This window comes from Homo sapiens (genome assembly GCF_000001405.40).
Source record: "Homo sapiens chromosome 16 unlocalized genomic scaffold, GRCh38.p14 Primary Assembly HSCHR16_RANDOM_CTG1".
In the NCBI taxonomy this organism is placed as follows: domain Eukaryota; kingdom Metazoa; phylum Chordata; class Mammalia; order Primates; family Hominidae; genus Homo; species Homo sapiens.
In genome coordinates, this window is record NT_187383.1 from 900916 (window position 1) to 914072 (window position 13157).

The 13157-nt window shown below is 36.5% G+C and overlaps 1 long non-coding RNA gene across 1 annotated transcript; it reads left to right on the forward strand.

Moving 5' to 3' along the window:
- The first annotated feature begins 8382 nt into the window (after nucleotides 1-8382).
- On the forward strand, nucleotides 8383-10456 carry LOC105379533 (translation initiation factor IF-2). Its single transcript, XR_005647092.1, has 4 exons — nucleotides 8383-8399; nucleotides 9212-9288; nucleotides 9385-10105; nucleotides 10144-10456. It is a non-coding gene; the product is annotated as a translation initiation factor IF-2 (long non-coding RNA).
- The last annotated feature ends 2701 nt before the right edge of the window (nucleotides 10457-13157 follow it).

Genomic DNA, 13157 nt, shown 5'->3' on the forward strand with positions numbered 1-13157 from the left:
TTCCTTTTTTTTTTTTTTTTTTTTTTTTTTTGGTGAGACGGAGTCTCTGTTGCCAGGCTGGAGTGCAGTGGTGCTATCTTGGCTCACGGTGACCTCTGCCTCCAGGGTTCAAGCGATTCTTCTGCTTCAGCCTCCAAAGTAGCTGGGACTACAGGTGTGCGCCCCCATGCCCAGCTAATTTTTGTGTTTTTAGTAGAGAAGGGATTTCACTATGTTGGCCAGTATGGTCTCGATCTGTTGACCTCATGATTCACCTGCCTCGGCCTCCCAAAGTGCTGAGATTACAGGTCTGAGCCACCGCGCCTGGCCTCAAATTTCTTTGTTTCTTGCTATTGAGTTGTTTGAATTCTTTATATTTTTTGGATAGTAGCTTCTTATCAGATGTGTGGTTTGCAGATATTTTCTCCCATTCTGTAGGTTTTCTCCACTCTGTTCATTGTATCCTTTGCTGTGCAGAAGCTTCTTAGTTTGCTGTAATATCATTTGTCTATTTTTGCTTTTGTTGTGTGTGCTTTTAGGGTAAAATCCAAAATATCATTGCCCAGATCAGTCTCATGGAGCTTGAGCTTGGGAGTCTGAGACCAGCCTGGGCAACATACATCACGTCTCAAAAAAAAAATAAATAAATAAAAGCCATGTGTCATGGCATATGCCTGTAGTTCCAACTACTCAGGAGGCTGAGGCAGGAGGATCACTTGAGGCAGGGAGGTGTGGGCTGCAGTTAGCCGTGATCATGCCACTGCATTCCAGTCTGGGTGGCAGAGACTGTCTCAAGAAAAAAAAATCATGTCATCTGCAAATGAACAACTCAACGTTTTTCTTTCCAATTTGGATGCCTTTTGTTTCTGTTGCCTAACTGTTCTAAGACCTCCAGTACTATACTGAATAGAAGTGGTGAGAGGGCATCCTTGTCTTGTTCTGGATCTTCTTTCTCTGTTGATTATGATGCTAGCTGTGACTCTGTCATATGTGGCTTTTATTGTGTAGTTGCACATTCTTTATATACCTAATTTGTTGAGAGTTTTCATCACTAATAGATGTTGAATCTGTCAGATTCTTTTTTCTGCATATATTTAATGCTCACAGAGTCATATGGTTTGGATCTCTGTCTCTACCCAGATCTCATGTTCAATTGTAATCCCCAATGTTGAAGATGGGGCCTCGTGGGAGGCGATTGGGTCGTGGGGACAGTTTCTCATGGTTTAACACCATCCCCCTTGGTGTTTTCATGGCAATAGCAAGTTATCATGAGATCATGTTTTAAAGTGTGTAGCATCTGCCCCCACCCCTCATGCTCCAGCCATGTGAAGTGCCAGTTTCCCCTTTGCCTTCCAATGAGCAGATGCTGCCATCTGTTATTGTAATCTCATCCTCTCATAAAAGTGTATTATATTTCTCATAACCAGCCCTTCATATTCTATTCCTATTTTGGTATTTTAAAATAAAATATCCTTGAAACACTTGAATTCAAAGAGAGAATCTGAATGGTTTTTAAAAAGTCAATGAAATGCCGTTTCTTCATGCTTGAACAACTAAAAATTGACTAAAGTGCTTCTCTTCAAACTTTCTGGAACATTTTTTATCTAAATTCTAAGAGCAATCACAATAGGTTTTAACCACAATTGTGAGAATATTCTAAATGTTAGGGTGGAAAAAAATTTAAAATAATTTTATAGTAATTTTTTTATCATGGTGACAGTGTGCTAAATTTTTTTAAGTGAAATATTACTGTAGACATTTAAGTCAAGATTCTAAGAAACTGTTGTAAAGTCCAAAATTTTGTTTCATATACAATGCTATTATATATATATTTGCATATAAAATTAATATATGTGAGCCATGTTTCAAATGCTTGAGAGATTATTATATCAAAGATTCTTGATTATATAAAATGCCAATTACTTATAGGCACACATGCTTTAAATAATTACAAAGGCAGTTGTGGTTGATTCTACTCTTGCTACTGGCATTTATGTGGACATAATACTATGGTCTGAAGAATATTTAGGCAAATTTATCCCTCATATGATCAGAAGAACAATGCAAGATAGCCTATATCTGAAAGGAAAAAAATTTTTATATGGTTCTGAAAGCCTAAATCATTAACAACTTGGATAATAATTGGCATAAAAATACACAAACATGCCCTCTTCCTAGTAGTAGGTACACAGTGACAACAGAATCAAAGCATGTGGCTATGTGCATGTTTATATTTCAAGACGCAGAGCACTCTATTCCTCTTCTCTGCCCTTTGTACATGGCACAATTCCTCATGAATCTAAGTGCAGTCATAGGGTGGATGAAGGTGACCTGCCATTTATATGCAACTGATCTCTATTTTGGAAGTAATTAAAGTAAAAATATATTTTTAAAAGATAATTTCAAATTTCAGTGCAAACTAGTATGGTTTCACCCCTTTTCTTTGTAACATTTTTTTCTAAGGTTGGAAAAGTAAGGTAGGGTTTAGTACGATTTTTAATAATAAGTTTTCAAAGTGAGATGCAAAATGGTGGCGCCAACACATTTCAAGTCTGCTACATTTTGAGTACACTTATTGGAGAAAATACCTTCTCATCATTTTTCTCTTACAGGAAAGGAAATAACATGTACAGCTGACCCTTAAGCAACACGGAGGTTGGGGTGCTGGCCCCCTGCACAGTAGAAAATCCACTATAACTTTGACTCCCCCCAAAATAACTACTAATAGCCTATACTAAGCCTTGCAAATAACACAAGCAGCCAATTAACACATATTTAATATGTTATATGTCTTATATACTGTATTCTTAACAAACATGCCAGAGAAAAGAAAAAGAAAATCATAAGGAAAATATACTTACTCGTTATTAAATGGAAGTAGATGATCAAACAGGTCTTCATCCTCATCCTTTTCATGGGCAGGGTGTGGAGAAGGATGTAGAATTCTTGGTTTTGCTAAGTGGACCTGCACAGTTCAAACCCTTGTGGTGCAAAGGCCATCTGTATAGCCATTGAATAGCAATTTATTTTTAGAAATTAAACTCACTAAAATACTCTTAGAAGGATGCCAAGAAAAAAATCAATAAGTATTTTTGGTTCATCTATTTCATCATTTCATTTCATTTCATCATCATTTCATCATTTCATTTCATCATGTCATTTCATTTCATCCTTTAATTTCATCATTTCATCATTTCATTTCATCATTTCATCTCATTATTTCATTTCATTTCATCTCATTTCATCATTTCATTTCATTCTTTCATTTCATCATTTCATCATTTCATCTCATGATTTCATTTCATCTCATCATTTCACTTCATTTCATTTCATCTCATGATTTCATTTCATCTCATCATTTCATCTCATCATTTCATCTTTTCATCTTGTCATTTCATCATTTCATCTTTTCATCTCATCATTTCATCATTTCATTTCATCAATTCATCATTTCAGTTCATTTATTTCATCATTTCGTTTCATCATTTAATTTCATCATTTCACTTCATTTCATCATTTCATATAATTTCATCATTTCATTTCATCATTTCATCTTTTTTCATTTCATAATTTCATCATTCCACTTCATCATTCCACTTCATCATTCCACTTCATCATTTCATTTCATTTCATTTCATCATTTCATTTCATTTCATCCTTTCATTTCATCTCATTTCATCCTTTCATTTCATTCTTTCATTTCATCATTTCATCTCATCATTTCATTTCATCATTTCACTTCATCTCATCATTTCATCATTTTATCTCATGATTTCATTTCATCTCATGATTTCATCTCATCATTTCATCTTTTCATCTCATCATTTCATTTAATCATTTTATTTCATTTTATCTTTTCATCTCATCATTTCATCATTTCATTTCATCGATTCATCATTTCATCATTTCATTTCATTATTTCATCATTTCATCATTTCACTTCATCTCATCATTTCATTTCATCATTTTATATCATTTCGTTTCATCATTTCATCTTTTCATCATTTCATTTCATTTCATCATTTCACTTCATCATTTCTTCATTTCATTTCCTCATTTCATTGCACCATTTCATCACTTCATCATTTCATCATTTCATTTCATCATTCCATTTCATCATTTCATCATTTCATTTCATCTCATCATTTCATTTCATCATTTCATTTCCTCATTTCACCATTACATTTCATCTCATCATTTCATTTTATCATTTCATTTCATCATTTCATTTATTCATTTCATCATTTCGTTTCATCATTTCATCATTTCCTTTCATTTCATCATTTCATTTCATCATTTCATCTCATCATTTCATCTCATCATTTCATTTCATCATTTCATCTCATCATCATTTCATCTCATCATTTCATCTCATCATTTCATTTCATTCATTTCATCATTTCATCTCATGATTTCATTTCATCTCATCATTTCACTTCATCTCATCATTACACCATTTCATCTCATGATTTCATTTCATGTAGTCATTTCATTTCATCTCATCATTTCATTTCATCTTTTCATCTCTTCATTTCATTTCACCGTTTCATCTTTTCATCTCGTCATTTCACTTCATTTCATCATTTCATCAATTCATCATTTCATCATTTCATTTCATTATTTCATCATTTCGTCATTTCACTTCATTTCATCATTTCATATAATTTCATCATTTCATTTTATCATTTCTTTTAATTTCATTTCATCATTTCACTTTATTTCATCATTTCATATCATTTCATTTCATCATTTCATCTTTTCATGTCATTTCATCATTTCATCATTTCATTTCATTCTTTCATTTCATCATTGCATTTCATCATTTCATCATTTCATCTCATGATTTCATTTCATCTCATCATTTCACTTCATCTCATCATTTCATCTCATGATTTCATCTCATCATTTCATTACATCCCATCATTTCATGTTTTCATCTCGTCATTTCATCATTTCATTTCAGTTCATCTTTTCATCTCGTCATTTCATTTCATCATTTCATTTCATCATCATTTCAGTTCATTTATTTCATCATTTCATTTCATCATTTAATTTCATCATTTCACTTCATTTCATCATTTCATTTCATTTCATATCATTTCATCATTTCATCTTTTAATTTCATTTCATAATTTCATCATTCCACTTCATCATTTCGTTTCATCATTTCATTTCCTCATTTCATCATTTCATTTCATCCTTTCATTTCATCTCATCATTTCATCCTTTCATTTCATTCTTTCATTTCATTATTTCATCTCATCATTTCATCTCATCATTTCATTTCATCATTTCACTTCATCTCATCATTTCATCATTTTATCTCATGATTTCATTTCATCTCATCATTTCATTTCATATCATTTCATTTCATCTTTTCATCTCGTCATTTCACTTAATCATTTTATTTCATTTTATCTTTTCATCTCATCATTTCATTTCATCATTTCATCATTTCATCATTTCATTTCACTTCATTTCATTTCATCATTTCGTATCATTTCTTCATTTCATTTCATCTTTTCATTTCATTTCATCATTTCATCATTTCATTTCATTTCATCATTTCACTTCATCATTTCATTTCTTCATTTCATTTCATTTCCTCATTTCATTGCACCATTTCATCACTTCATCATTTTATCATTCCATTTCATCATTTCATCATTTCATTTCATTTCATCTCATCATTTCATTTCATTTCCTCATTTCACCATTACTTTTCATCTCATTTCATCATTTTATCATTTCATTTCATCATTTCATTTCTTCATTTCATTTTGTTTCATCATTTCATCATTTCCTTTCATTTCATCATTTCATCTCATCATTTCATCTCATCATTTCATCTCATTTCATTTCATTCATTTCATCATTTCATCATTTCATCTCATGATTTCATTTCATCTCATCATTTCACTTCATCTCATCATTACACCATTTCATCTCATGATTTCATCTAGTCATTTCATTTCATCTCATCATTTCATCTTTTCATCTCGTCATTTCATTTCATCATTTCATTTCATCTTTTCATCTCGTCATTTCATTTCATTTCATTTTATCAATTCATCAATTTATCATTTCATTTCATTTCATTATTTCATCATTTCATCATTTCATCATTTCACTTCACTTCATCATTTCATTATTTCATATAATTTCATCATTTCATTTTATCATTTCTTTTAATTTCATTTCATCATTTCATCATTTCACTTTATTTCATCATTTCATATCATTTCATCATTTCATTTCATCATTTCATCTTTTCATTTAGTTTCATTATTTCATCATTTCACTTCATCATTTCATTTCATTTCCTCATTTCATCATTTCATTTCCTTTCATCATTTCATCTCATCATTTCATCCTTTCATTATTTCATTTCATCATTTCATGTCATCATTTCACTTCATCATTTCATCATTTCATTTCATCATTTCACTTCATCTCCTCACTTCATCATTTCATCTCATCATTTCATCTCATCATTTCGTTTCATCTTTCCATCTCATCATTTCATTTAATCATTTCATTTCATCTTTTCATCTCATCATTTCATTTCATTTCATCATTTCATTTCATCAATTCATCATTTCATTTCATTTTATTATTTCATCATTTCATCATTTCACTTCATTTCCTCATTTCATTTCATTTCATATTTCTTCATCATTTCATCTTTTCATTTCATTTCATCATTTTATCATTTCATTTCATTTCATCATTTCACTTCGTCATTTCATTTCATCATCTCATTTCACCATTTCATCATTTCATCATTCCATTTCATCATTTCATCATTTCATCATTTCATCATTTAATTTCATCATTTCACCATTTCACTTCATCTCATCATTTCATTTCATTTTATCATTTTATCATTTCATTTCATCAGTTCATTTCTTCATTTCATCATTTCCTTTCATTTCATTATTTCATTTCACCATTTCATCATTTCATTTCATCATTTCATTTCATTTCAGTGATACATATATTTAAGTGCTAATGTGATGCCCAGGAGACATCCTACTTCCCTTTGTAAAATACCTCCTTCAACAAAAGGCAACCTCTCATGGCTGGCTAAGTCTACAGGGATACCAGGCTCTCCTCAACCACCCAATTTGATTTAGAACCTCAAACAGCACCTCACTTTCATGAAAACCTAACACATAAACACAACACTTGGTTGTAAGTGAGCCAACAGCTTCTTGTCTCTTTCTCTGCTCAAGGCTTAAGGCCGTGTCTCCCCAACTACGTTCAGTGGAAGAAAAGATCCCCTGGACAAATACGTTTGAGGACTGTCATTGCAGGACTTCTCAGAACCTTTAAAACACAAATCCTCATCCGCAGGGATCTTCAGGAGGGAGACGGCTGATGCAGCACAACTTTCTTTCACAGGAGCATCTTGCAGAATACAGTATGAGATACAGAAAGGCTGCACTGAGTCTTTTTAAGGGTCTGGGCCTTGGTGGGGGTGGGGTAGGAGCTCTCCAGATAGAATCTAATGAGTAGGAACATTCAGGTTGCTTTTTTTTTCCCTTATTGGCAAAACTGTGTGTGCACCATGAATGAAGCTGGTCTCCCTTATCCACATCAAAACTAAACCCAAATTAATTGGCTAAATTGGGACTCAACACCACCAGGAGCCACGTGGAAGACAGCCCTACCACACTTTAAAGTAGCTTACCTCATCATGTTTGAGGAAAGCAAAACGCTTATGACCAGTATGCTGCTAATACAAGTCTACAGATAATGCTGTAGGAAAAATTATTTTTCCCAATCATAGCTGGCATAGTCCACATTTTGCATTACAATTTCCCCTTTTTTAAAATTTAAACACAGGTCTTTTTCTCTTCTTTTTAAACATTTTAATTTAATTATACAAGACGGAGTCTCAGTATGTTGCCCAGGCTGGTCTTCAACTCCTGAGCTCAAGTGATACATCCCTCTCCGCCTCCCAAAGTGCTGGGATTACAGGCCTGAGACACTGTGCCCGGCCTTCAACATAAAGTTTAATTCATTCTTACAATTATCCTGAAGTTAGAAAAATGGAAGGGGAAGAAAAATGGCAAGCAGGTAGGCTGACTTCGACTTCATTATTTGGAAGGACAGTTTGCTCGGTTAAAACACACTACTGCCCAAAAGGCCAAGACTACAGAAAAATACAGACTTACATAAATAGATTTTATATGTGACAGCAGTTTGAATGGAGACTTTTTCAATGCAAATGACAAACAGCTGTGCTTGGGAATAAATGACAAAGAATTTTTTATCTCAACAGCTGTCCTGAGAGCACGTCTCTACATCTATACCTGCATTCTGGAATCAGGGAGGAAGCCAAAACGGATGACAAGACACTAGGTCAGCCGCGTCCAACCCTTTGACTACAAGGACTTTTCCACCTATCTGTGGTGGTGGGTATCATGAAAATTATGCACAAACCTTTTTTTTTTTTTAAGCTCATCAGCTATCGTTAGCATTAGTGTATTTTATATGTGGCCCAGGAGCATTCTTCTTCCAATGTGACCCTGAGAAGCCAAAAGACACCTGTGCACTAGATCAAAAGGCTACTCCTTCTGGAAGCAATTGTAAAGAATTTCTGACATTATCTTCACATGACAACCAATGGGTAGTGGGACAGAATGCAAAAATCTTCAAGTATTTTTCTTGTTGGTTTTTTTTTTTTGAGTCAGGGTCTTGCTCTGTGGCCCAGGCTGGAGTACACTGGTGAGATCACAGCTCAGTGCAGGCTCAAGTGCTCCTCCCACCTCAGCCACAGTAGTAGCTGGGACTACAGATGTGCACAACCACCCCTGGCTAATATTTTATTTTTTGTAGAGACAGGGTCTCACTATATTGTCCAGGTTAGTCTCAAACTCCTTGACTCAAGGGATCCAGGACAGGATAACAGGTGTGAGCCACCACATCTGGCCATGTGCATGAACTTTTAAGACAAACACAAGGCCCCACAAAAGTTAAGGTTTTCCCACCTAATTTCCAGGGGATCTTTTGGTGCAAGGATGAGAAGCCCTTAAAAGTACCCAGACAACTCCAAAGATTCAAGACAGTTCATTGGGGCTGAGCCAGCCCACTGGGCAGACTGACCTTCAAAAAAGGCCCACCCATGATATACACCAGATGGCTCTCCAAGAATCTCTCCAGTCCTCAGGGTCCCTAAGGTACTGGACAGAGCTAGGAAAGCAAACCCATGTGCTTCTTCCTTCAGGCAACCCCTTGAGGTCAAGACCCCACAATCAGATGAGGATGGAGTGGCTCACCCTCAGTCAACAGGCCAGACTCAAGGTGGTATTATGTCTTAACCAAGGGTGTGGGCCTCCAGGTCTCACTCCCAACTCAGTGCTCCTTTAATAACCACACTTTGTTAATTCTCCTTAACAGGGGTTCCAGGCAAGTCAGTTCTCCCTCAGGCCTTCGGTTTCCTCACCCACAAGATGAGAGGGCTGGACCAGATGGAAATTCAGGGGGTAAGGGGATGTCCGCTCGCAGCCCACCTCGCCCATGGGCCCCTCAAGCCTCCCTGCCAGTTCCCACGACGCACCCGCCCCACAGATCCTGCCCAAGGTGAGGGCTGGTCCCGGGTCCTCCGGCTGCCGCATCAGCGAGTGCAGGAGGGAGGGGAAGCCTCCAACGGGGCGACTGGGGCTCAAGGATGCAACTCGGCCAGGAGTGAACTTGGGCACGGAGGGAGGTGTCTGGGCCGCTCCTCGAGCCCAGCCTGGGTCCACGACCCCCTTACCTCCAGGGTCCGTATCTCCTGCTGGGTGAGGTCCTTGGACACAGCGCACTTGTTGCGCAACCGGCGCAGGCTGCCAATGGAGATGCGGATAAGCTTCTGGAGCTGCCCACAAGCTTCTGGAGCTGCCCACACTGCTGCAGCGTCTGGCTGGCTGCGGCCCCTGCGCCTCCCAAAGAGGCCGCCACATCACCCCCGCCACCGCCCTCCTTCTTCTCTCCCCTGGCCGCTACGCGCAGCGCCGCTCTATGCAGGCCGCAGCGGCCAAGGCGGGGAGCCCGGGGCGCGGGCGCCTAGGCAAGGAACCCCCGAGCCGGGAGAGCTGGACCAGGAGCGCCCCCCGGCGCCGCCTGAACAAGGACGCCGGTAGAGCCGGCAGCCGAGTGTGCTGCTCCCGCCCTCAGAGCCGCGGCAGCGGTGGCAAAAAGCGGCGGCGGCGGGGGCAAAAAGCTGGGGCGGCGGGGACAAAAAGCCTCGGTGGCGGGGGCAAAAAGCCACGGCGGCAAAAACCGGCGGCGGCGGGAGCAAAATGCCGCAGGGGCAAAAAGCCGCAAAAAGCCGCGGCGGCGGGGGCAAGAAGCCGCGGTGGCGGGAGCAAAAATCTGCGGCGGCAAAAAGGGGCGGCGGCGGGGGCAAAAAGCCGCAAAAAGCCTCGGCGTCGGGGGCAAAAATATGCGGCGGCGGGGGCAAAAAATATATATATATAAAATATTATAAATATATATATTTATATATATAATTATATATATAAATATAATTAATATATATAATATATATTTTATTATATATATTTATATTATATAATATATTATATAATATATTATATATTATAAATATATATAATAAAATATATTTATATATTATATATTAATTATATATATTATAAATATATGTAATAAATCTTGATGATTCTAAGAATGTTTTCATTATTATCACTAAAACTTATGATAAATGTTTTATTCATTCGTTTGTGACTATATTGCATGATAAAAATTTAAAGATTTATTATGTTTGAATCAAACCCCACGATTTGTGTCATTTCCCCCTGTAATGTGGAAGTCTGAGTTTTTAGTTCACAAATTTGGCAGAACAATAAACAGAGCGGCACAGCTCAAAGCACTAACTCCTCCGGAAGCAGCAGGTCAAAGTACATGCCAGACATTAAGCAGCAGAGCAACTTAGCAAGAGAAGACAGATCCTCAGGTTGGTGGGCAATGTCTGAACAGTCTGCTCATGGCACCAATTGTTAGTCACTTGCAAAGATGTGGCTTTAAGAGGGTAAGAAATTACTACTCACATAAATTACATTTGTGAGGTAAGTAGGAAGGCCTTTCAAGGTGATCTGACATGGCTTGAATGTGCAAGAAAAGGAGCCAGGCCTGGATTTTTATTGAGGGTAGGTGGCATGCTAGGGTGAGAATTTATTCCCATGGACAGGGGTTTGAATGGTTTCAATCTGCTGCTGGTACCAGAAAAGGGACCACCCAGGTTTCCTCTTACTGTATTATTTTATACACACACACACACACACACACACACACACACACACACACACACACGGTTTAGGATTAAAAATAGAGACAACCATCAAAAAGTGAAGATAGTTCCTTTTGGTCAGCCTGGCAAGTAAGGACGTAGAAGGTGACATTCGCATCAGCGAAAGTAAAAAGGGAAACATAGGCCAGCAATTCTCCTAACATCTATCAGAAAAATAAGTTCACAGGGCAAATCACCATCCCAAATTGGACAGAAGGACACACACATCCAGAGAATTATAACTTACTTGGTTAGTAAACCACAAGAAACCCCTATGGGAACAAATACAGTTGTAAGAAAACAAACCATTGTTGATGAATGGCTAAAAGTTTGAGAATTAACATTTTCAGGGTATACAAATTTATGAACTTTACTTTCAGAAACATGACATGGCTTTTACAGGGAAGATGATAGAAAAAATGCTTCTTGATTCCAGTAGGAGGAAGGGAAATGTAGCCATTTTTAACTATTCCCAGAAAATTTTCTTTTTAACATTCCTATCTTCAATATAAACTATGTATCAAAAGCCTAACCAACTGAGATTTTACCAGAGCCAGACTTCCTGGAGTAAGAGAAATGCCCAATTCCATCCCCCTCTAACCTTCTTGATCCAGTTAAGAGAGGTAAAGAGTGAGAAGTCCTCATGAAATTCACAGCCTAGGGATACACTGTTTTGTTTTGATTTGTTTTAATGAGGCTAATGCATAAGTCAATAGAGTGCTTTGCCTAAGCTCTCACATAACCACTACATCAACAGCAGAATAAATACATGGTAGCAGAATACAACTGAAAGAACTGTATGCCTCAGATCTTGTTAAATAAGTCTCTAAGAGACCACAAGGAAATTGAATAATGTTGATAAAGTCGACACATGTATATGTAGAAATACACAATGTACTGACACTGAGTCATGAACAAATAGAAAATCTGAACAGACCTATAGTTGCAGATTGATGCAAAAATCACCCCTCCAGAAAAAAAAAGTACAAAACTGTTATGCTGCTGAATCTATCAAACATTTTAAGAATTAATTACCAATTATCCTCAAACTCTTGCAAAAACCTGAAGATGCAGAAACACTTCCAAATTTATTCTATGAGGTAGGCCAAAATTACAGTGACATAAAAAATGAACAAAAGCACTACAAGAAAAGAAAGTTGAAGAAAAATGTTCTTTATAAATAATATAAAAACTATAAAATAAATATTAGCAAAATATATTTAGCAGAATAATAAGAGGGTTATCTACCAAGACTAATTGAGAGTTATTACTGAAGTGCAAAGATGCTTTAACATATAAATATCAATAAATGTAGCCAGGCACAGTGGCTTGTGCCTGTAATCCCAGTTACCCAGGATGCTAAGGTGATAGGTTCACTTCAGTCCAGGAGTTCAAGAGCAGTCTAAACAACATCATAATATCCTGTCTCTAAAAATAAATAAATAATAAATAAATAAACAAATAATCATAATATACCGCATTAGTACTGTTAAACACCACAATATCTCAATTTACACAGAAAAAGCATTCTACAAGATATTACTCATTCATGGTACAAACACACAACATAATCAACAGTGAAATACAAAAAATGTTTTCCCTTAATATCAGGAACTAAAAATAGTTCCTCTTTTTTACCACTTCCACTCAACAGAGTATATAAAACTTTAGCTTAAGCAATAACAAAAATAAAATAAAGACAAAAATGCGTATGTTAAAAAGAATAAAATAGAAATATCTCTGTTCACAGTAATCATGTATGCACACAATTCTGAAGATTGTACAAACAGAAAAACACCTCAAAACAGTTTAAACAAATTAAGTAATGTTGCAGGATACAAAATTAACTTACAAAACTCAGTTGCATTGATGCACACCAATA